The sequence below is a fragment of the Homo sapiens genome, chromosome 5 (assembly GCF_000001405.40).
Source record: "Homo sapiens chromosome 5, GRCh38.p14 Primary Assembly".
In the NCBI taxonomy this organism is placed as follows: domain Eukaryota; kingdom Metazoa; phylum Chordata; class Mammalia; order Primates; family Hominidae; genus Homo; species Homo sapiens.
The window spans coordinates 173747138-173772811 of NC_000005.10; the positions used below are offsets into that span (position 1 = coordinate 173747138).

A 25674-nucleotide genomic window follows, 5' to 3' on the forward strand; every position below is an offset into this window, starting at 1 on the left:
AGTTGAGTTGTTTCCAGTGTTTTGCTGTTACAAACAGTATTCCAGTCAGCATTCTCACACATGTATCTTGATATATCCATAGGATAAACCCCTAAAAGTGGAATCACTGGGCCATAGGTGTGTTCAGTTTTAATTTGATGTGCCACATTATATCCAAAATAGTTTGTACAATTTACTCCATTGCCGCTAACATCTTGATGAAAAGTACCAAACATTTAGTGAGCATTGACTGTATTTCATACACCATGTTAAGGGATTTACATGTGCTATCTTATTTAATTCTCACTATAATTCTACTGGTAGGAACTAATATTATTTCCATTTTACAAATGAAAGAACTTTGGCTTAGAGTGATTAAGAGTATTTTCTAGGCGGGGTGCGGTGGCTAATGCCTGTAATCCCAGCACTTTGGGAGGCCGAGGCAGGCGGATCACCAGGTCAGGAGATTGAGACCATCCTGGTCAACATGGTGAAACCTTGTCTCTACTAAAAATACAAAAAATTAGCCCAGCGTGGTGGCGGGCGCCTGTAGTCCCAGCTTCTTGGGAGGCTGAGGCAGGAGAATGGTGTGAACCCAGGAGGCAGAGCTTGTAGTGAGCCGAGATCGTGCCGCTGTGCTCCAGCCTGGGCGAGAGAGTGAGAGTCCATCTCAAAAAAAAAAAAAAAAAAAAAAGACTTTTCTAAGCTTGTCAGTGACAGTACCGGGATCCCAACTCAGAGCTCTCTCAGTCTAAAACCTGTTCTCTTCACCAATACATTTACTCTTCATAACAATTGTGTGAGCTGGGCCCCATTATTCCCATTTCCAATGGGATTACTGAGGCTCCAAGTAGTTAAAGTGACTTGCTCAGGGACATAGAACCCAATCACAAATCTGAGCCTGACTCCAGAATCTGTGTTCTTCTCTTGAGACTCCATGCCAACTCCTCCAGGAAGCTCTCTGGGATTACTCCAGCCATCCTTATCATCTAACCCCCAAGAGCAGCTCCTTGGGAGCCCTGGGAATCTGCAGCAGGCATTTCAACTCAGAGTGCATAGGTGTGTGGGTGTGTGGGATCTCACAGATGTTGAAGTCAGACAGACTAGATTAGAAACCCCTATGCCATCTACCTTCTGAAGTGAACTAGGGCAAGAGACCCTCCCTCTTGGGGTCTCAGTTATTTCATCATTATGATGCTCGTTATTACTGTTGCTATTAGTAACATGATAACAGTGATTACCCCTTATGGAGAGCCTTCTCTGTACCGCCTTTTACAGTGGGTAGTGTTTTAGTTTAGGTCCCTCAGGAAGCAGACACTGAGACAATGATTTGGGGCAAGGTTTTTATTTGGAAGGTGACCCCAGGCATCTTGGTGAGAGACTAGGGAAGTGACACAGGGAACAGAGTAAAACCATGGGATGGTGTGTGATGGACAGGTAATTGCCAAGGCTAGCTGGGCTCCAGCCTGCTGGGGACCTCTGAGAAGTCATGTGGCTCACGCCATGGAATACCCTACCCAGGCAATCCTCAGTGGTTGGGGGTCACTCTCGCTTTGTTGACTACAAGGCATTCCCACAGCCTCAGGTGGGGGCTGGGGTACTGTCTGCAGGTGGCCAGTAGCACAGCCTCCCTGCAGGCAATTTACAGGAGCCTCAGAATGAATTAATCACCACTCACATTGTGTTTACCACTGACCTTGTGTTTTAATTATCATTGACCTAATTGCCATTGACCTTGTGTTTTTTTCCTGTGAGTTCTGTCACTCTTTGGAGGGTCTATGCCTTGTACCTCACTTGGGTTTTTTGCAGTACCATGTGGGGCATGGCATAAACCTCCATAAATTGAGGCTGATGATTTGAATCCTTCAGTCATCAGCAAATATTTACTGTGTACCTACTATGTACTACGTGCTGTTTAAGAAATTAGTAGACTTCGGCCGGGCACGGTGGCTCACGCCTGTAATCCCAGCACTTTGGGAGGCTGAGGCGGGCGGATCACCAGGTCAGGAGATCGAGACCATCCTGGCTAACACGGTGAAACCCTGTCTCTACTAAAAATACAAAAATTAGCTGGGCATGATGGCGGGCGCCTGTAGTCCCAGCTACTCGGGAGGCTGAGGCAGGAGAATGGCATGAACCCGGGAGGTGGAGCTTGCAGTGAGCAGAGATTGTGCCACTGCACTCCAGCCTGGGTGACAGAGCAAGACTCCATCTCAAAAAAAAAAAAAAGAAGAAATTAGTAGACTTCATTTTTTTTTTTAGCAGTTTGAGGTTTATAGAAAAATGAGTGGAAAATACAGAGTTCTCATCTACTTCCAAAGCCCCCCAATCCCGTTACCACCTGTTATTAACATCTTGCATGGGTGTGCTATATTTGTTACAACTGATGAGCCAATACTGATACATTTTTATTAACTAAAGCCTCTAGTTTACATTACGGTTCCCTTTTTGTGTTGTACATTCTATGGCTTTGCACAAAGGCATCGTGATATGCATGATGCCACTATTCCCTGTGATCCACCTATTCAGCCCTCCCCGCTTCCCGCCCCTTCCCTCCAACCCATGGCTCCGGTGACTTTTTCAATGCTGGGAGTACAGCTAGGACAAAATAAAATTTCTGTCTTCAGGGAGCTAACATTTTAGTAGGGAGAGGGATAATATGTAAGCCAGCAAATAACACACCCAAGTCCAGGCGATGATAGAGGCTGTGAAGAGAATTTGTGTGGCTAGGGGAGGGGAGCTCTTGTTTAGACAGGATGGTCAGTGAAGGCCTCTTTGAGGAGATGACACTTGAGCAGAGCCTTCTCTGGCCGGAGACCCAAGGAGGCCAGGCTGTGGCTCCGAGGACTGTGCTGCTGAGAGGCTGTGAAAGATTCCATAGGCCACAGTGGGTGGACCCAGAAAGGCACGTTGACCCCTCACAGTAAAGGGAGGTGTCATGGCTGAACTGGGTCCCCCTGGCCTCAAATTCATATGTTGATGTCCTACCCCTAGTACCTCAAAATGTGACCACATTTACAGAGAGCATTTTTTTTTTTTTTAGACAAAGTCTCGCTCTGTCACTCAGTCTGGAGTGCAGTGGCACCATCTCAGCTCACTGCAACCTCTGCCTTCCAGGTTCAAGTGATTCTCATGCTCAGCCTCCTGAGTAGCTGGGATTACAGGTGGGCACCACCACACCCAGCTATTTTTTTTTTTTTTTTGTAATTTTTAGTAGAAATGGGGTTTCACCATGTTGGCCAGGCTTGTCTTGAACTCCTGGCCTCAAGTAATCCACCCACCTTGGTGTCCCAAAGTGCTGGGATTACAGGCACGAGCCACGGCACCCAGGCAGAAAGAAAGAGGGTAAGAAGTTAAATGGAGCCATTAGGGTGTGCCCTCCTCTGGTATGAATGGTGTCCTTACAAGAAGAGGAAATTAGGACACAGACACACACAGAGGGAAGACCAAGTGAATGAAGATGGCATCGGCACACCAAGGAGAGAGGCCTCAAGAGAAACCAACCCTGCTGACATCTTGATCTTGGGTTTCTAGTCTCCGGAACTAGGAGGCAATAGATGTCTGTGGTTTAAGCATCCCAGACTGTGGTATTTTGTCGTGGCAGCTGGAGCAAGCTAGCACAGGAGGCACGAAACCTGCCCTTCCATTCCCCCAGCCCTCCCATCCCATGCAGAGGTGTTAGAGAGCATGATCTACTGTCACTGAAACAGTCTAGGTCCTAGAAGCTGCCTTGAGGTGGCCTTCCTTTCCATCTCGGGGGAGCAGAGCTAGCTGTTCTACCTGCCTTGCTCTATGACTCTCTGCTGGTTGTGGAGGCCACTCACGGAGGACCCACTGGGCATGTCCAGAACAGCATCACAGACATCTGCATCCTGACAGGCAGAGGCCAAGACCCCATTCTTCCTTCCACTTAGTAGTTGTGTGACCTTGAGTGGGTTACACCTTCCAAGCCTCAGTTTCTATATCTGTGCAATAAGGGGAAGTGAAGGTTCCTCCCTCCTGGGGGGGACCGGGGAACCAAATGAGTGACCGTGTGAGAAACACTCAGCCCAGCCCAGAACACAGATGAGGTTAGCAACCCTTTCATCCCATGTAGCATTTGTCTTTACAATGAGTCTGAGGGGGAGACGTTATCCCCATTTTATGCAAGAAACCTGACCTAAGGGCACCTTGCGGTGACCAGCCAGTCAACCCACAGCCTTGAAGAAGGGACCACCACCCCCTGGCTGGTTCTGCCCCCGATCCTCTGGTGGAGCAGGTGGTGCAGTTGGCTGTGGCACTGACATCACTGCGGTCCAGGCTGTGGGCCCTGGTCTTGTAAATAAGTCTCAAAAATTTGACTCCACTCTCCGTCCCTCCCTAGCCCCTTGAGTCAGCAGGACTGCCCTGAAACAGCTCAAGAACAGACTTTCCATGACGTTTCCAGCTTTTAATTTTCCTAGTTCCCTTCTAAATCACCTCTCTGGACCTCAGTTTCCTCATTTGAAAAAATGGGTAGAAGGGGTCAGTGCTTTCTCAGGCCTCCCCGCCACAGCAGAACCATCTAGGAATTCTGCCAGAAATGTCACTGGGGGAAGTCATGCCATGGTGACAGTCACACTTAATGACAGCTCTTATTGACTGCACATTTCCTATATCAGGTACTTTCTATACATCCTCTCATTTTATGTCTGACAAGGAGCCTATGAGGTGGTTGATACTGTCCCTATTTTACAGATGAGAAGACAGAGACCCAGAGATGCTCAGTGGTATTTTCAAGTCCTCATGGCCAGTGCATGGTAGAGCTGAGACTTGAAATCAAGTCTGTCTGGGTTTGAAGTCTGTGTCTCCTGCATCCTGACCCTGACCCCCCGTGTGTCTCGTGGCTTACAGTTTTAGGGTTTTGTTTTTAGGCAAAACACTGTTTTGTCTGAATTACAATTCAGTTCAGGTTTATTTTAAAATTCATAACAACACAGGTGACTTCCAAATTGTAGCAGCAAGGTTGGTGCCTAGAGCGCAAGTTTTACAGCCCAGGTTTTCCTTTGCTCTTCCTTGGGAGGGGAAACATCCTGTGCCATGAGCATTTGCTTTAATTTTTACATACACACACAGACACAGACACAGATACACACACACCCAGGGATAGATTCATTTCTCCAGCTCTCCTTTGAAATGGAGGGAGTAAGATCTGGCACAGTGGCTCACGCCTGTAATTCCAACACTTTGGGAAGCCAAGGCGAGTGGATCACTTGAGCTCAGGAGTTCAAGACCAGCCTGGGCAACATGGTGAAACCCCGTCTCCACAAAAAATACAAAAATTAGCCAAGCATTGTGGCACATACCTGTAGTCCCTGCTACTCGGGAAGCAGAGATGGGAGGATCACTTGAGCCCAGAAGGCAGAGGCTGAAGTGAGCTGTGATTGCGCCCCTGCACTCCAGCCTGGGAGACAGACTGAGACCCTGTCTTAAAAAAAAAAAAATGAAATGGAGGGAGCAAAGAACAGAGATATTGTTGAGGCTTGGGGCTGAAATTAAAGTTCAAACTAAAATCCTGAAGAGATTGACTATGCTGATTTCCTTTGGACGTTAAAAAGCCTGCCAGAAGGATGCTAATTGACAAGGCTTCCCAGGGCTTGGAGGAGTTTCCCAGAATGCACTGTGAGTGAGGCAGACAAGGCTGCACGGGCCCAGTTCTCTTTGTTCTGCATGTGTGTTGCTGCGGCATGGCATGATGGAGACAGATAAATGCGAAAACATTTTGTACACTGGATAGTGTACAACAAGGAGGAGGAGGAGAATGTGGCTCACATGGCCTGGTTTCAGGCTCAGCTTTGCCCCCAGCTAACTGTGTGACCTGGAGGAAGTTGCTTATCTGGGCTGCAGTCTGTCCCTAAGAAATAGTTGGACACTACAAGATCTCATTTTTCCATTTGAGTCTAAAAAAGATTACCTTGGCCAATGTGGCACAAAATTCTGTTTCCTAGAAACATACTCTTAGCAGCAGCAATGATAACAAAATATAAAAGTAGCTAATATTTATGAAGCACGTAGTATGAGCTAAGCACTGAGCAAAATAATTTTTGCATGGCCCATCTCACTTATATCTCCTGATAAAGGCACAAGCTGGATACTTATATTATCCCTACACTAAGGATGAGAAAACTGAAACTCAGAGAGGCTAAAGGATTGCTGAAGTCCCTGAGCTAGAAAGTGGCAGATCTAGGATTTGGAAATTTGGAAAACCAAATTTTCCTGCGTCCATGGTCTCCCCCTTAAGCAAAGGTTCAGGTCACAGTCATAAGCCTGGATGCAGCAGTGGAGATGGTTAGGGCTGATAGGCCCTCACTTCAGGGTCACCAACAAGCCAGAGTCTGATCTCCTCTAACGGAGTGTCCCTGGCTTCGGCAGGCAGTGCGGGAGCGTAACCGGATCTGCTTAGAGAGGCCCCAGCTTGCGCCATTCACTGGGCCAGAAACCTGAGCTGCTCCTGAGAGGGCTGGAAAACAGCCTGGGGCTTGGAGATTGGCTCACACTATCCCAGCTATTCCAACGCAGACTAAATGGCTTCTGGCCCTTGTTAATGGCGCCATCTCAGATCAGTGCCAGGGGAACCACTGGTCATTTGGGGGCACTGGAGGGAGCAGGGTAGAGGCGTGGGGTGATGGTGGGTGATTAGCAGCTCCCCTCTTCCTCCTCGCCCCTTGGTCCCTCTAGTTGACCCACCACCTTCCCCCAGTTGACGCAGCACAAATTTCTGGTGGGAGGGATACTCAGGTTTGGGAGTCCGTTTCATTCCTGCATGTTCACTATTTATAAGCCCAAGTCACAGCCTGCCTGGAAATTCCAGGCCACACTCCTGCAACCCAACCTGATCAAATATTCATGGAAGCCGATGAGCTGTCATCACCATGAATCCCACGATCTGCATTTATTGCTTTGACACTACTTTATAGGAATTACTTCTCCTCCTCTGCCCTGTGCCACATTTTCACCACCCTTCCCCAGTAAATCCAGCTCTGAGTAATTTATAAATCTGTAGCTTATCAAAATTGTGCTCAGGCCTCAACTTGGGAGAAGGAAACTAAATGGAAATTAATTTATATATTGGGCATTGATTACAGTGTAGACTCTTTTAAATGTTTGTTTGCAGAAGTGCATGGTAAGGTAAAAAGAATCTTTCAATCAGAAAGACCAGGTCTTGAGTCCCAAAGCTGCCTTTTGCAATGTGATAATAATAACTTAATTGAATCTGAGTTCATCGTGTCTCAGACAAGGCACTCACATGACAAGTCTATGAGCCAAAATATGTTATTATTATCCCTCCTATTTTTCAGATGAGGAAACTGAGGCACAGAGAGGTTACATAAATTGCAAAAGGCAAATCGCAAGGTCACATAAATTGCAAAAGGTAAATTGCTAAGCCCAATTTCCACATATTGGGAAAATAAGGGATAATAATTCCTGATTTACCAGGTACTTGGGAAGGTTAGATTCTGTAAAGTGGAGGGCTTAGCACATAGAATGCCTCCCATCCCCTCCCCTTCTCTCCCCTTCCCTTCCCTTCCCTTCCCTCCTGCCTTCTTTCTTGCTTTCCAATATTGATCAAGGGCTGCCATTATGTCAGGTCTTGTGCTTGGTCCTGGAGAGATGGCGTGAACCAGGCAAATGCTGCCTTCTCCTTCACTCTCTCTTGTGAACCTGCCATCTTGCAAGGTGCAGGCGATAAACCATGACCTTCCCATTGTTCCGTGTCCTCTGGCACCAGGAGGATCAGTATTTCCCCTCCTATGGCTTCTGCCTTGTCTCTGGTTCTGGGGGTTGGGGGAATGATTGGAAGGCCAAATCCAAGAATCTTTGTCGTCTGTTGCCCCTTTCTTAGCTTTTAATGTGATCAAAACTCTGGTCTGGACTGAAGCCTAGAGAAGTAGACATGTTTGCCCCAAGGCTGTCTGAGGAGTGAGGAGCTAGGGCAGGATTTGAACTAGATATGTCTGACCCAAGCCCCATGATAAGGCCGTGTGTTCTAAACTCAGGCAACTGTTATGGGTGCAAATTCCTTCCCTACTTTGAGCTAAAATCCCCAGCCTGCCATTTGCATCTGATAGTGTTCTATATTCTCAAAATAGAAGTCACTCTGGCAAATATTTGGCATTATATTTCTGTCTTTCCTAATGCTCCTCTGCTCTTCCAACTTTTTTTTATTAGAAAGGATGTTGAGTTCCTTTTTTTTTTTCTCCTGTGGCTCTTGCTGAACCTGCTACCCTTTGTCAAAGTGTCCCTTTAAGCAGTATGCCTGAAGTCGAATGGGCCACTTCCAATGAGGGCTAAAGTGCGGGAATGAGCAGGCTTCCCATCTCCAATAGTGAGTGCTTGCTTCATCAGCTTTTCTGTTGGGCACACCCTACAAAACATGATCTTTGAGTCCTCTGGAACCACCAGTTATGGGCGTGCTTCAAAGGGGAGGGTGCCTAGGCACCAACATGCATTGAGCACCTCATGGGTTCCAAGCTTAGTTCACACACAGTGTTGCTTTGAGTTGTCTCCATATGTCTCTGAAGCAGGTCTTATTAGTCCCATTTTGCAAATGAGTCAACTGAGGTTCAGAGAAGGGCTATAATTAGGATCACAGAACTAAGCAAAATCTCCCAATCTTTTTGCCCATGTGGTCAGGTTTTGAAGCCCAATGGGCAGGACCGATAACAACCACTGTGAAAATAGTGAGTTTGGATTCAGTTTCTCAGACGTGACATTCATAATATGTTGGAGTTCCAAATGTTTCAGGACCCAGAGTTGGGGTATGATCCCCAACTTCATCATTTCTCTGAATTTCATCATCATGGCATTCATAAATGTCACAAATGGGACAGTGTTGTGTTCAGACTCCTGAAGTCTCCATCAGAGACCTGCCCCATCCCAGTCTCTATGGTCGCACTGACCAGCACTTTTCATGTCTTGACCCAAGGACAAGAAAGAATCCAGTGAAAATATCTTCACTCCCGCCCCCTGCCACCAAACTTCTTCAACTTGTCCGAGTGGGTATTACGCAAAACCATTGTGGTGGGCATTGGTGGTTTTCAACCTACGTTTATTTCTTGTTTGGGGTTAACATTTTATTTACTTTGGGGAATAGAATAGATTGGAATATTGCTTTCGATTCTTCATTCCCCTTTAAGAGAATTAGACATCCATGCCCTTCATCACATGACTTTTCAGTATCTCTCCATTGAAGGGGAGAATTTGTCTCTCCAAGGGACTGAAGTCGAGCTTGGCCATGTGACTCTTGTGAACCGGTGGCACATGAGTGTTTGCGAGCTGAGCAGAGGCTCTAAATGTGTTTGTGTGATTTGGTCTTCTGTGCCCCTATTATCCGGTGAGAAAAACATGTGTCCTGGTCTATACAGGATGAGAGGGACACGGTACAGACCCAAACCCAACATTAGTCTAGAGTCAAGCCCAGTCCCTCCCAGCAGGGACACAACTTTTTCTCAGATTCATGAGTAAGAAATAGAAAGGCTTGTTAGCATAAGCCACTGAGTTTTGTAGTTGTTTCCCAGAATTAGTGCAGTGATAACTGATTAATGACTACAGGGGTGCATCCCCTGTCCCAGGCCTTCAACACCAGGGTGGGGACCATGACCCAAGCTTGGTCAGGAAGCGTATCTGTGCCGACGACTCCTGATTTCCCATCTCACCCACTGTCCATTCTCTGCCCAACCCTCACCTGCTCCAAGCCCAGGCCCCTTCCTCCACTGCAGCCCCCACCTGACTCTGGTAATGCAGTTTCCTTTCCTGCCTCTCAAGCCAATGGGAGGCAAGAGAGTCTCCCTGTGGCTAGGTGCAGGTGCTCAACACCCTTGTGGGCTCCCTTGTCTCACATCTTAGACCTTTCATTCATTTATATTCCAAATCCCCACCGCACATACTGTCTATTTCCAAGTGAGATGGCCTGGTCCAGACCACACCCTTCATCCCAAATTCTAGATGCACCTGGGCAGTCACTTACACTTCATTTTATCCCCCAATTGAGAAAATAGGGATTATGCTGTTGCCCTTTCAATGCTGCCATGAGAGAGAAATGGGATCACGGATAAACAGTGGCTAGGCTTGTGTTATAGCCGCACGGTGGATTTGCAATACAGGTGAGTTCTCTGGGCCTATCTTGCTATTGCTAGCATCTAATGTGATGCCGGGAACACACCAAAGCATTAATAAATATTTGTAGACAGAAAAGCCCTCTGGCAGATTTTCTTCCTTTGACCTTTTGATTATTTTTCCTCTTGACATAACAGAATAAGATACCTAGTACCATGGTGACAATCTCTATAGAAATCCATAGCTTGCTCTCAGCACACCCGCAGATGCCAGTGGGAGGCTGGCATAGATTTGGACCAATAGAGAGGAGGCATGGTTAGCCTTGTCCTGGTTACAAAGAACATGTTTTTTTTTTGTTGTTGTTTTTTCCCCCTTTCAAATGGACCTTCCTGTCCCCAATGCAGCATCAACTAGCTCTCTCATAATGTGGGTTAATTTTCCATCAGCTCCTAGAAAGAGTGTATTTCCAGACTCTCTGGGGACAGACAGAGGAGTTTCAAACAGGATAAAGCAAGCTTCAGTGGAGAGTATTTGGAGTCTGCCGTGGCGTCAGGCTGCTCCAACCGCATTTCTGCCAGAGGGTGGGAACGTGTTTGCTTGGAACAGGTAATTCTTTCGGATACTCTAATCCGAGGTTTGAAATAGACTTGTGTTGCTACCAGAAACCCCTGTTGTGTGGCCTTTTCTTTGTTAGGCTTGTCCTGGTAAAGGCTGGGGATGCATTGGCTTGGGAGTGGAGGTCCTTTACTGAAGCCAGTGTGTCTGCCTCTTTAAGAGGGACCTCGAGGAGGGACAGTCCGAGAATCACAGAGATGAAAGCCAGATGGCCACTAAATAGGATGGCAGCGAGTGAGGAGAGGACGGCCAGCTGGGCTGTCTGCTTTATCACCTTGCAGTGGAGAAGACTTCTGCCTGTGGCTGCAGGTGGAAGATCTGGGGGTAGGGATGGCACCCTGAGCCAGGGCCCTCTGAATGGTCCAACTGGCCCCACCTTCTGCCCAAACCGGAACACAGAGTTCTAGACCCAGGAGACAGAGAAAGTCTGGGCCATGGAGTCAGAGAGGTCTGGGTTCAGATTCTAGCTGTGTCTCCCTGAACAGTGGTATAGTCTGTCCAACTTCCATTTCCTCGTCCATAAAATGGGTTGGTGATCCCATCTCACAAATTCACTGTGAGGCAAGTACAAAGAATACAACTTGAGCACAGTGCGTGGGGTATGGTTTTTCCTTGAGCAGGTGCTCAGGAAATTTCAGTGTCCCTGTATTCTGGAGAGCACTCTAATAATTATTTAACTAAGAGAGGGAGAAGGGGAACTTTTTTTCTGAGAGTCTGGGATCCTGGCCATTTAAAAATGAAATCCCCAAATCCTGCTTAAACACCTTACTAAGAATGCAAGTATATCACTCAGGGCTGGTACCAGATACCTGTAACAGAAAACCCAGATAACAGTGGCTTAAACAACAAAAGAGTTTACTTTCTTTTCTCTCATATAAAATAAATCCTGATGCAAAAAGTCAAAGGCTAGAATGATGGCTCCTCAGTCATCCCTTCCAAGAAGACAAGGCTCTATCTTTGTGCTCTGCTACCCTTAGAGAGTGGCTTCCTCTGTCAAGGTCACTGCATGGTCATGAAACGCTACTGCAGCTCCAGCCATTATGTCCACATTCCTGGCACCAAGAAGGGGCAAGCAGTGCAAGAGGAGGCACCTCTCAGATGAGTCAGCACTTTAAAAAATCTTTACCGGAAGCTTCTCCCAATGACTTCAACTTACATCTTATTGGGTACCCTCTATGGCAAGAGGGGCTGGGAAATTTATGGGGCAGGTAGACGCTCCCAGTAATAATAGGGGTTCTGTTAGTAGAGAGCAATGGCAGAATGTCACCTCTGCCATAGCCAACATGCAGCTTCTTCAACTTCCCTGGAAAGGTTTCCTGGGCATATTTCCCCAGGAACAATAAAGTATCTCAGGTTTTCTGCCTTCTCCACCGTCAGTCCTCACTCAGTGGACCAGCTGTTTCTGGAAAGGGCCACTGGTGAGAGTAAGGTCAGAACCCTGTGGCATACAGGTGGTCTCAGAGGCAGAGCTGCAGGAAGGTCCTGGCCACACCTCTGGCTGGCTGGCTATTCCTGGGTGAGTTACTTAACTGCACATCTCAGGATTCATGGATACCCTTAAGGATCAGTGAGATACTTGAACGCTCAGCAAAATATCCTGCAAGGGCCAGAGTCCAATAGGTTGTCAGTTGAGGTTAGTCCCCGACGTTTTCAACCTCCCATTGCCCACCTACCACCTCGATGTTAATAAAGCAACATCGGTTTTCATCCAACTTCAGATGATACATAGATTTTACGCATCAGGAAGGTTCAGAACCAGAAGCTCAGATGGATTACATGTGGGTACCAGGTTGAGAACCTACCTGGAGAACTCTAAAACCCAAAGGATAACCACTAAAATCTAAAATATTTTGCACTGTCTCATATCTGCCTATGTTACTGGCTGTACTAATTATCCATTACGGTGTCACAAATTACCCCAAAACTTAGTGGCTTAAAAGCCAGCTCAGTTTATCATCTCACTGTTTCTCTGGGTTGAGAAGCTGGGTGTGGCTTAGCTGGGTCCTCAGGCTCAAGGTCCCTCACAAGGCTGCAAGCAGGCTGTCCGTGGGGCTGTGACCATCTCAGTGCTGATATGGGGTTGGATCTGCTTCCCAGCTCACTCACGTGGCGGCTGGCAGGATCCAGCTCCTCATCGGCTGCTGGCTGGAGCCTCCTCAGTGCCATGCAGCATGGGCCTTTCCATAGTGCAGCTCACAGCGTGGCAGCTTGCTTCATCAGAATGAGCTAGTGAGAACGGAAGACAGAGAATGGGAGCAAGATGGAAGTCTTTTATAACGAAACCCCAGAAGGGGCATCCTTCTCTATTTTATTCCATTCATCAGAAGCAAGTCACTAGGTCCAGCCCAAACTCAAGTGAGGGGATTCCACATGGGCATGAACATCAGAAGAAGGGATCACTCGGGGCAGGGAGGTGCCAATTGGCTTTTGGAAGTGCCAAGCGAGGTCCTGCCTCATCCACCCACCTCCACTCCCAGGCTCCAGACATGGGGCCTGTTTCCTTCCATGAGCAAGCCCAACTCCTCCTCCCGTGGGGCCTTTGCTTGTGTAGTTCTGTTTTCCTGGTGACTCTTCCCTCTCTCCCTTCATAGTTCTACTCATTTTCAAAGTTCATCCCCAAACTCATTTTTTCCAAGAAGACTTTCTTGGACACCCTGCTTCTGAGTCACAGGAAGGAGGGGTGCCTGAAGCCCTACTCAGTACTGGGTAGCCCCAAAAGGTTGCCTTCAAACAGAAGTCTGGGCCCTGACTGTTCAACTCTCGTTCCTTGTATGGTTAACTGTGTTTGGACCTTCAGCTGTAGTTGTCATCCTCAACCAGAGAGGCTTTGGATCTAGTTCACGGATTCTTGGCATGTCATGCTGCACTGCCCCGGCAGTCAGAATGGAGGAAAGAGATGGACCTTATTTCAGGCCAGGCCCCAGCTCTGAATATGTGTGTGTTTGGGGCATGTTGTTTTTTATCATCTGAGTTCAGTCCTGTGCTTGTAGAAGGTATAATTTTCAGTCCATAAACTCAGGTGTGGGGTAGATAGAAATATCTCTATCATAATTGAGTTCAGTTCCTATTTTGAGCCTCCACTCAGCCCAGGTAGGTAACAAATCAGTCTCAGCTGATCTGCCCCTCCTTTTCCCAGAGATTGCATTTCTGCGTGTTATACAAAGGTGATAGAAGGATGGCCACCTGCTCTCCCATGCCACCTGTCCCTGGCATTTATCATTCTGGGTCATGGGTCAATGCAGGCCACCATGGAGCTGTCCCTTGCTCCCGTCTGCAACCTGTCTCCAGTCAGGTGACTCTGTGCTTCTGTGACATTCTGGGGCTCACAGTCATCACTGTTCTATCTCTTGTTTCTCATAGGATCCATGAGGCAGGTAAGCCCCGAGTCTCCTAGATGTACTATGTGGCCACTTCCTTTGGCGCTTCCCTCATCCCTAGGCACCCCCTCTTCCTTTCTGCTGTGAGATTTCATGGGCCATGCCTCTAGGGACTTTTGTCTTTGCCCTGACACCTGGCCGAGAGAGCAGAGCACAAAGATCAGTTTCTCGAGGACACTGACAGTCTCAGCACTCCTGCTGTGATAACCTTTCCACATCAGCCTGGGAATGTTCTCTTGGTCCACAGGCCCCCAGGGAGAGCCTTTGCTCATGATGTCCTCCTCCAGCATTTTTTGGCTAAGCCATGATTTTTTTCCAATCTCCTGAGAAACTCATCTTCAAAGCTGAAAAGCCAACGAAGACTCATTTTTGTCTCCTTTCTGCTGTCACAGGGAACAGCCTCAACTGACTTCAAGCAGGGAAGGCCAAGGCAGGAAAATAAAAAGCCAGAGGAAACCACAGACCTTCTTAACACTATCTGCCCCTCACATCCATCCAATATGCATTTACTAGCTCTTGCCATGGGTCAGTCACTGTTCTGGGTGCTAAAGACAAAAACAGTAAAACACTCAGCACCAAGGCTGGACACACTGGTTCATCCCAGCATTTTGGGAGGCCGAGGTGGGCAGATCACCTGAAGCCAGGAGTTCGGGACCAGCCTGGCCAACATGGTAAAATCCTGTCTCTATAAAAAGTACGGAAATTAGCTTGGTGTGATGGTGCATGCCTGTAGCTACTTGGGAGGCTGAGGCAGGAGAATTGCTTGAACCCAGGAGGCAGAGATTGCAGTGAGCCGAGATTGCACCACTGCACTCCACCCTGGGTGATAGAGCGAGACTCCATCTCAAAAAATAAATAAATAAATAAAAATAAAACAAAATAAAGACCTAGCATCAGTCCTCAGAAGTTGCAGCCTAATGAGGAAAAGTGGAGGTCAGTCTTGTAAACAGATTGACAGGCATAGTGTGATAAGAGATGCCAGAGGAGGCACTCCGTGCAGGCTGACCCTCTGGGAGCCCAGGACTGAGCTTGAAGGATGGACTGGAGTTATAGAATCAAGGAAAGGGGAGTTCAGCAGAGATAGGAGTACGTCCGAAGGTTGCGGGGGGGTGGTAGGAAGACAGCCTCTGAACAGTCAGTGGTGTGGGTGTGTCTCTTTGAAGGGAACACAGGTTGTGTCTCCAGGAATGGCTGCAGATAAGGTTGGAGAGAAGTGGGTAGGAATCAGGTAACAAGACGTCTTGGATGTCAGGCTGAGGCATTTGGATTTTATCTTCAGGAAATGTAGACTCATGGGAGAAGTTTTAAGCATGTGGTGATATGGCAGGCTTTGTGTTTAGAAAGTGTTTTCTTCCTGGGCCAGGGTAGAGGATGGGCTGGAGATAGGGTATTAGTGAGGAGCCTGGGACAGCCATACCGGCAAGGCAACCTGAAGCTTGCACTGGGAAGATGGATGGGACGTGCAGGGGATAAATTCCCAGATTGGAGGGTAGGGCTGGCAAGACTGGGTATCTGAGGGGATGTGGGTAACCAGGGCAACTCCAAGCCCTCTAATGGTGCCATTTGCCAAGTTGACAGGACGGACACCCAAAGAAATAGAGGTTGAGGTTCAGATGGAGTGGCTCAAGCCTGTAATCTCCACACTTTGGGAGGCTGAGGTAGGAAAATTGTTTGAGCCCAGGAGTTTGAGACCAACCTGGACAAAATTACTTCTAACCATCTATATAACTATTTTTTTTTTTAAAAATTAGCCAGGCATGGTGGCACACCCCTGTGGTCACAGCTACTCGGAAGGATCGCCTGAGGCCGGGAGGTCGAGGTTGCTGTGAGCCCTGATTGCACCATTGCACTCCAGGCTGGGTGCCTGGGTGACAGAGCGAAACCGTGTCTGGAAAAAAAAAAAGGGTTGGGGAGGAGGAGAGGGTTGGTTTAGTCTGAAGTCCAGGAAGGAGTCAGGATCCCGTGGATAAGAAACCTCTCAGTGTTGCAGTTCTGAACCTTAGCAGAAGGTTCTGGAGCAGAAAAGCCCAGATTGGAAGTACATGCAAGAGGCAGCTGTGGAACTCTAGTACTTTGCCATAGTTGCCATGGGTGGTAGTCAATTAGGATGTTTTCAACAGAGAGGAAAAAAAAAGTGCAGCTGACAGTGGCCCAGATAAATAAGGCATTAAGACTCGCTGAAGAAGAGAGTTCCAGGGCTGGAGTCAGCAGCTCACTATCCCATCAGGAGACCCACGTTCTTTCTTTCCTTCTGCTCTGCCATCCTTTGCTGCGGGCTTTTGGTCACCTTGCTAGCAAGATGGGTGGTGTATTCTAAATTTCAATATTTCCATGAAATAGACCAGTGTTCCCTGAAGCATTACATTTTTCTGGGTCCTACCAGCGTATTAGCTTTGACACTTGAGTGGACTCTTATCTGTAATCCCGATGCAGACACAGTGTGGTGTCTTGCAGTCTTTTCGTAGGACCGTAAAGCATTCGGGAGTCAGCAGGGATATGTGGAAAGAGTATATTGGGGCCACATACACCTGCATTTGAATCTAGCCTTTCTGTGAATGTTCAGGAGGTCACGTCCTCTTTCTGTCCCTTGCAGTATCTCTGAAAATGAGATTTAGGGATGGTGGGTGTCCAGAAGATGATTTTGTCGTGTCTGGCTTGGGCCAGCAGTAGCTCTCTCCTTTATTTTGCTACCACCCTTTCCCTCCATCTCATCTCACTCCTCATGAGGGTATAGTTTAAAGAACAACCCCAGGAGAGGGCTAAGTTCAGTCTCATGAAGTGAACTCCTAATGGGGAATTTCAGGTAGCTGCTGGTGGGGAGAGGCATTTGAGGTGGCTAAGGTAGGGAAAATATGGGCTACTTGGCCACTGCTTTTAAAGCAGTGTTTAAAACTCTGCTCTGTTCACGCAGGGCTCCCCAGTGAATAGAGTGTGCAACTGGGAAGCGACAGAGTGATTTTTTTTTTTTGGAGATGGACTTTCACTCTTGTTGCCCAGGCTGGAGTGCAGTGGCATGATCTCGGCTTACCACAATGTCTGTCTCCCAGGTTCAAGCAATTCTCCTGCCTCAGCCTCCTGAGTAGCTGGGATTACAGGCACCCACCACCAAACGCGGCTAATTTTTGTATTTTTAGTAGAGACGGGGTTTCTCCATGTTGGTCAGGCTGGTCTCAAACTCCTGACCTCAGGTGATCTGTCCGCCTCGGCCTCCCAAAGTGCTGGGATTACACACGTGAGCCACTGTGCCTGGCCACAACAGAGTGATTTTTTTAAAGAAAGTGATAGACAACAACCTACGTCATCTTTGGGGTCAAGCTATCAGAAATAGAGCCTCCCTTGCCCTCAGATGTCTCCGTGCTTAGCCTGGCAAAGCTATGAGTAAGTGTGGAGCTCATTACAGGAGCCGGAGACACTCTCTTGCTCTGCCTTGAGTCAGGCCGCCTGGTGTTGATGAGTCACCACCGCCTGCCCTGGCCCCCTGCCTACCAGGAGGCCACTACCGCCGGACATTTTTATTTTCCTTTGTGGGGAAAGAGTCTGACCTCTGTGCTCTGTGTCTCTATCCATATTCTGCCTGTCCCAGACAGAGGCAAAGGTTCTCTGCACAGCCCTCCTTTTTTCAGGGAAACTGTGGGGGTGAGGGGGCCAAAGAGGGGAATCTGAGCAGGTCTCAGGCATGCAGATAATACAGAGGTAGGAGCCTTTCGGGATTCGCAAGATGCTCAACCAGGCACCATCCATCACTGCCAAAAGCAGCTGTTATGCAAAGTAGCTTAATTGGCCTACAGGTTGGTTGAGTTTTAAACCCACGGATTGTACCAAGGCAAAGGAAATGAAAATATTTGACAGATTCTGGGTGGGGCTGTGTGGTTTACACAAACATAGAAGAAAAACATCTGGGGCTAGAATGGGCCTCAAACGACAAATGTTCAGATATATAGTAATATAATACACAAACATATATATAATATATATGTGCTTTGTGCGTGTGCGTGTGTGTAAGCTGAGAGGAAGCACGCAGAAATGCAAACATCAGCAGCTTTTGGATATCTATATCTATATATAGATATAGATCTATGGATATCCACTATATGTATCTGTAAATGTAATGTAATATGTTCAAAATACAATCCCATGGAAGGTTCCAGACAGAGGCTGGAGACTGAGCCGTCACCCTGGGATTGAAGACAACGTGACGGTTCATTCTCCAGAGTTACCTCACACCTGGATAAGTCACAGCCGGCTGTGGAGGTCATCACTGAGTTGTGTCACACAGGGAAAAATTCATTCATCCATTTCTTCGTAGAGTCTACAGTTGTTGTTTTGAGTGTCAGTTTAGCAATCAGAGGCCTGGCTTTGAATGGCTTCCCCAGGAATCTGGGAAACTTGGGTAACTTATTTAACTTCCTTGGGTCTCATTTTCCTAGTCTAGAAATTGGTGTCTATTTCTTGGTCTGGAGAGGATAAAATGAAGTCATAGAGGTGCCTGGCATATAACAGAACGTGGTTCATAATCATACATAATACGTAATCATGTATTACTTTTTTTGACACACTTCAGTTGAGCACATATTTTGCGCCAAGTCTTGTGCTAAACACCAAGGATATAGACTTGTTTGATTCATTCATTTCACAGATATTTGCTGAGCACCTACTACGTGCTTGACAGACACTGTGCTAGGCTCCCAGGCTGGCAAGGGAGACAGACATTCAAAAAACTACAAATAAGTAGTATAGGCAGCTCCTCCCTCGCTGACTGCCAAAGCTTTGAGATAAAGACATCAGGCAAGAAAGGGGCAAGAAAATGCACAAATACCAGAGGTATTCCTTTTCCCAAGTCTCCAATGTGGGAAGAATATAATTCCGGGACTACTGAGGAGGGGGTTTGAGTAGGCAGCAAGGGGTGATGTGGATATATGCATGTATGTGTGTCTGTGTGTGTGTGTGTGTCTGCACCCATTTCTGTGAGTGTGTAAAATGTCTGTGTATATGCGCCTGTCTGTGTATTTGCATGACTACACATGGAAGAGAGGCAGGTGTGTTTGCATGACTGTGTGTGTGTATTTGTGTGTGTGTATCTGTGAGTCTGCACGTGTGTCTCTGGGGATGTGTGGGTGTTTTGTGTGTTTCTATACACGTGTGCCTTTTGATATGTCTTTCAGTGTGTCTACCTGTCTGCGTGTCTCTCTGTGCCTGTGAGTGTGTGTTGGTGTGTCTGTGAAGGTCTATGTGGGTGTGCCTCTGTGGGTGTGTGGCATGACTTGTCTCCTTTTCTGTCCTCAGTCGTTTCTGTGGAGCTGATCTAGCTTGTCCTTCAGAACAAAGGGAACTGACAACGTCAGTGGCTTGGGCTTTATCTCCCAGCCTGCCATCCTGTCAGAGGAAATGAAATGTACTTGGCACAGTCTGCTCCTTATGATGTCATTCTGGCTGTGACCTGCACATTCCGCTCTCCTAGGTATTTGTCTTTTGATTGCTTAACGAATACCTGCCAAAGATCAAGAGAACACGAGTGTGGGTTTTTTTTTTTTAAAGAATCATAGCTGCGGCCGGGTGGCTCATGCCTGTAATCCCAGCACTTTGGGAGGCCGAGGCGGGCAGATCACGAGGTCATGAGATCGAGACCATCCTGGCTAAAACGGTGAAACCCCGTCTCTACTAAAAATACAAAAAAAATTAGCTGGGCGTAGTGGCGGGCGCCTGTAGTCCCAGCTACTCGGGAGGCTGAGGCAGGAGAACGGTGTGACCCCGGGAGGCGGAGCTTGCAGTGAGCCGAGATAGCGCCACTGCACTCCAGCCTGGGCGACAGAGCAAGACTGTCTCAAAAAAAAAAGAACAAAAAAAAAAATCATAGCTGCATGGAATGTTAGCTGTCCATTTTCTTTGCTGTGAACTTGGGAGCCATGGTAAAGAGACAGCTTTGGCTTTGCAGTGGTGAGAGCTCGGTTCAAGTCTCCAGTCTGCCCCTTCAAAAGCTGTGTGACCTTGGAGAAGACAGTTTAGCTCTCTGAGCCAAGATTCCTTACCTTATGAGAAGGTTCCTTGGAGGGGCAAATATAACAATAGATGAAAACGTTTTCAGAAATCCACAAAGTCCTTAAATCATAGGATGTCAAGGCAAGGGGGCCCAGAGGGAGGACCCTGGGCGCAGATGTCAGGGAGATGTGGGTTTGGGCCCTGACTTCTTCCTTTCCTCAACATACGACACTGAGCAAGTTCCTGGACCTCTCTGAGCCTCAGATTGTCCCTCTGTTAAATAGGATAGCATCATATATAAAGCACTAAGGCAATGTGCTGGCCAATGTGAGGGCCCCTAAAACGGGAGCTGTTAACATTTTTAATACTACAAAGGGGCTGACAGCAATATTAATGTCTGCCCACTTTCACACTTTCAGTGAGTGTAGCAAATTAAACCTCTGCAAGCGCAGGTATAATGAATGCATAGTGTGACAGCAGTGATTTACTATCTCTCGTTTTTACTATTTCAAGATGCAACCTCAGCAGAGTGTTCTTGGCATTACCGCATTCTTGGCAAGCACCTTGCGTTTCATCTAGAACTCAGAGGCTGTTCTAGTTGCAGAGAGGAGCTGAGAACAAGGTGGCCTCTGGCCTACAGTGGTCCAGGCCAGCTGGCTGGGTGGCAGACTTCCCTAGTACCTGTCCCCAGTCTCTCCAACTGGATCCTTTCTACATGACGTCTTCACCTTCAGCAAAACCTCAAATCCCCCTTGTCTTTGAAGATGCTGTTCCCCCTGCCTGGAATATCCTTGGCTGCCACTCGACCCTTCAGCCAATCTGGGCTTGGATCCAGGTTCCTGTGCCCAGGCTAAGGCAGATATCCCTGCTCTGTGTCCCCAGTGCACCCTGCATTCACCCCACTGTGCATGACGTCCAGGGCATTTGAACCGTCTGCTTCTGTGCCTGGCCGCCTCCCAGAGGGTGCCCTCCAGGAGGTCAGGGACAGGGTATCCAGCAGTCCTCGGTGGATGTTTGCAGAGCAAGCACACAGAGATCATTCGTTTTCTGCCCCCACACCCTCCAGCAATACCTTCACATATAAATATATTCAGTTCATCCGAACTAATTCTGACAACCATTTGGCTTAATAGAAGAGATTTCAGAGAGCTGTGCCTCCTCTGTGGCTGCTGATGTTGGTTTTGAAGCAGATGGGTCTGTCTCCCTGCATCTGCTTGTTTTCAACAACTGCACCACGCAGGCCAGAGGACAAAAGGTTCCCAAGTCCTTGAGTAGCTTCAGCCTGAGTGTCAGGTCTAGCATGTGGGTTTGCCGTGATGGCAGTGGGCATCCATGTGGCTTGACGGCCTCCGTTTTGGAGAGTGGTTGGCAAGTCAGGCTCTGGGATTGGACTGCCTGAGTTGCAAGCCTCAGTTCTGCCACTTGCTAGCCATATGATGTGGGTGAGGTATTGAGCCTCTTTGGGCCTCAGTCTAATCATCTGTAAAACGGGGATGTGTAATAGTACCTACTTGCCCTGCTGGTTTTTGTTGGAATTAAATGAGATCAGTTGCTGGTGTAGAAAGAATATTTAATGAAGTTTTGCTAGTGTTACTATTGTGTTGCATTTGTACCCAATGGTAGTATCAGACCAGGACCTCCACTCTGACTGTAACAGAGACTGAGCGTCTGGCTAGACACCCTGCCTCCATCCTGCCAGAGCTGGTTTCCCAGGGCTAGATGTTGGAATTACTCTACAATTTCAGATGGATCTTTTTATGATCATGAAGCACCCTCAAGGAGAGATAGATAGTTCCTCTGTGTCTGAGAAGGGTTCTTGCCTTTCTCTCACTTAATAGCAACCTGGCACACCTAGTTGGCAGTCTACTTGGCACTTTGCTTACCTCATGGTATAGTACAGGGGTCAACAAATGACAGCCCTAGGGCCAAATCTGGCCCCTTGCCTGTTTTGTTAAATAAAGTTTTGTTAGAACACAGTTCATTTATGTGTTGTCTGTGGCTGCTTTAGCAATAAAATGGCAGTGTGGAGTCGCTATGACAGAGACCACAGAGCTTGAAAAGCCTAAAGTATTTTCCATCTGGCTCTTTATAGAAAAAGTTTGCCAACCCCTTGTGTAAAAGTAAAGGATTAAAGGTTTATTTCGTTGAGCAAGACAGAAACCTGAGCACCATTCCCACCTCTCTGCTCTCCCTCAGCCCTGACGCTGGTTGGCCACCAGATTACTTTGCCTCATTCTATCTCATGCGACTAATCTCCCATCGCTTCCTCAAATACCACTGCTCAGTTCAGCCCTGTCCCAACTCCCATTGACTAGCACAAGTCAGGACCACCACCATCCTGTAAAGTGTCTGTGGGTGAATGAGACAAAGACATCCCTCTGGGTAGATGAAGCTCCATGTCACACACTGGTGTGCTGGGCAAAAACCCCAAACCCTGTTGATTATGCCCAATGACTGACAGCCTTTGCAACCATTGGCCAGGTTTATTGATTACACTGTCTCCTAGCCTTGAGTTTCTCCCTGTCCAGGCGGCCATCCACCCTAGAGCTACAGTGATCTTCCTAACTGGCCATGTCCCTCTCCTGCTCAAATTCATTCATGCCCACTGCCCTCAGGAAAAGCCCATGCTTTTGCGTGTGACATTCAAGGCCTGTTGTGATCTGGTCTTTGCCAGTCTCATGTCTCACCACCTGCTCGGCCTCCACCACACCTGAGCACTGCTCTACAATGGGGGATCCCTAGACCCTAGGCCTCCATGCTTGCTCATACTTTGGGGATTGGCATATGCTTGTTCTTCATGAATTATTCTGCCCTTCTTCTTCTTCATCTGCCAAATTCCAAGTCATCCTTGAAGCCCCAACACAAGCATCTCCTCCCTGTGACACTCTTCCTGATTCTCTGGGAGGACTTGAGCACTCCTTCCAGGGTTCACTTTAGTCTCCACAAACCATGGCTCACAGCCCATAAATGGGTCAGAAAATTGGGGTCATGGATCTTGGCCAGCACCTTTTGAAAGTTGAGCTAGATGAGAAAATGCAAGAGCACATCACTCTTTATTGTGTGGTTCTAGCATAGGATGAAGAACACTGGCTCTGAAGCCAGACTGCCTGGGTTCCAGTCTGGCTCTATAGTTATAGGACGGTGCAAAAGTAATGGCGGTTTTAGCCATTTTAAAAAGTAATGGCAAAAACCGCCATTACTTTTGCACCAACCTAATATTAGCAATGACCTTGGTAAGTGACTTAATCTCTCTGTGTCTCAAGTTCCTCATCTGTAAAACAATGATAATGACAGTACTTTCTTCATAGTTTCTCATGAAGATTAAGTGAATAATGTATATTACATTAATATATAAGCATATAATTTATATCATACATATGTGAATGTGTGAATATGTGTGTGTATGTATGTGTGTGTGCATATCTATATCTATATCTATATCTATATCTATATCTATATCTATATATCTTACAAGACTACCTGTTTACTTAAGCAGTGCTATAACCATGTTAGCTAGTATGTATGCACACCTGTGTGTGCGTGTGTGTGCATGTATGTACAGTGATGTGTGCGTGTGTGAGAGACAGGGGAGAGAGAGAGGGGAGAGAGAGAGGAGAGAGAGAGAGAGGGGAGAGAGAGAGAGAGGGGAGACAGAGAGAGAGGAGAGAGAGAGGGGAGGGGGGAGAGAGAGAGGGGAGAGAGAGAGAGAGACTCTAGTTTATGATGAACATTATCTGAAAGCCTCTAGTCTGGCTGGAATATATTCTGACCCATATTAAAGCAATTATTTGAACATATATATTTTTTAAATTTTGCTTTTCTGTCTCTTCCACTAGACAGGGAGCTCCTAGAAGGCAGCAAGTGTGTTTTATTTATCTCCGCATTCCAAGCACCCAGCAATATGCTTCGTAGATGTTTCTGGAATAAATGAGAAAATGAGTTCTAAATCCTGAAGCTGAAGGACCACGGGGTCTCCTCCCGCAACTGCAGGGGCCAGGATATTCCGTTCCCCGCCTCCCTCCCCTCCCCCTTCTCCTGTGAGACACACTCCAAGCTCGTATGGGACGCAGACGCCTTTCTCAGGATATCTGGTCTCCACAGTGAGAATACGTGATCACATCTCACTGCCAGGGAGAGGGAGGAAAGCACGAGGGACCCTCAAGCGAGAAATGGAGGCTCCAAACTGACTGGGAGGAAAATGGAAACTCCAGCTGACCTAAGAGATTTCTATAATGAGAGAAAACCAATTTAAATGCAAATAGCCTACGGTGTCGTTGGGGAAAGGCGCCTTGCTACAGAGGAAGGCTGGAAAAACAAACACAGCCCTCATCACGAGGCTGGTTCACCGTTGGACGGAAAGGTTGCTTTATCCGTTTAGGATTAAAGTCTAAACGAGTGACAGAGTCACATGCATCGCTGGCAGCATTTCCCGGTGCTCCACGGTGCCCACTGAGAAATGGGTGTCTTCGAGGGGACCTGGCATTGGCCACCGCCATTTCCCGAGCCCCTAGCAGGTGGCAGGTGCTGTACAAGGCACAGAGAACAAAAGCTGTGCCATACACAGCTGCCTTGAGGGGCTTACAGCCTAGGGGGCCGTTAGACTCTGAAGTCGATTCTGGGCTGCAAAGAGAACTAACATTTTTATTGAACATTTACTATGTGCCAAGCTGAGGACCGAAAACTGTATGTGATGATGGCTCATCAAATTCTCACAGCAACTCCATAAGGAAGAGCCTATTATTTTTCCAGTTTTACGGATAAGGAAACTGACGTTCCAGGACAGTAAAAAACTTACCTCGGGTTGCTGGGCTTCAGACCCAGGCCGAATGGCTCCGGGACGGTGGCTGGTATCTCCCTGTGTGCTGGGAGGAGAGCAGCTGCAGAGAAGCCCCTGGGATTGTGCTGCCTGACCCTGGGTTCTCTTTGGACACTGGGTGCCTGTCCAGAGAAGTCCTCTGAAAAGCAGAGCTGCCCAAAATCAGGAAGCCCTGAGACAGGGTCTGCCACTGGCCTTGGCTTGGGGCAGCAGAAAATAATACTGTTCAAGGAATCAGGACGTGTGAGTTGCTCTGCCACTAACTGGCTGTGTGACCTTCACAGTCACTTTCCCTCTCTGAGCCTCATTTGCCTATGTAAGATGAAGATTCTAAAATTATATGGGGCTACGGAATTCTATTATCTTAGGACTCCAGCTACCCTTGAAAATAGCCATTGCCCAGTTGATACAGCACCTCCTTCCTGCCCTCCTTTCTGCCCCACCTCCTGCCTTCTGCCCCGGCTGGCCCATATCTGTTGCAATGGAGCACTTTAATTTCCTCCTTTGGTTTCATAATTCAAGGACAGCACCATCTGCCACATTAAATCCACGCTCTCTGCTTGCCTCCTTCTCAAAACAAGGGCTGGATGAAGGCTTCATCCGGTTTATTTCATGGATGAGCAAGAGCTGGCAAAACCAAATGGGGACAGCTTTGGCCTTGCAAGCTGCGTTCATCCCCTAATCTTCTGGTAGGGCCCCAGAGCTCGTTCTGTCGCCCCCACTGCCTGCCCCAGCCAAAACATGATGCTGCTGCTGATAGATGACGTTTACAGAGGCCTTTCTGAGTCAGGCATTTTCTTAAGTGCTGTAGATTCATTTATTTACTTCCCACTACAT

The 25674-nt window shown here is 47.6% G+C and overlaps 1 long non-coding RNA gene across 1 annotated transcript, besides 1 other annotated feature; it reads right to left on the reverse strand.

Moving 5' to 3' along the window:
* Window positions 1–11506: 11506 nt before the first annotated feature.
* On the reverse strand, window positions 11507–25320 carry LOC124901138 (uncharacterized). Its single transcript, XR_007059060.1, has 2 exons — window positions 24817–25320; window positions 11507–12894 (listed from the first exon to the last, which is right to left on the reverse strand). It is a non-coding gene; the product is annotated as an uncharacterized LOC124901138 (long non-coding RNA).
* Window positions 24152–25142: an enhancer, noted in NCBI's record as "H3K4me1 hESC enhancer chr5:173198292-173199282 (GRCh37/hg19 assembly coordinates)". NCBI's record gives its function as "activates a minimal SCP1, AML or CMV promoter by ChIP-STARR-seq in primed H9 embryonic stem cells {active_cell/tissue: H9 hESC(primed)}" and the evidence as "EXISTENCE:reporter gene assay evidence [ECO:0000049][PMID:30033119]".
* Window positions 25321–25674: the final 354 nt, after the last annotated feature.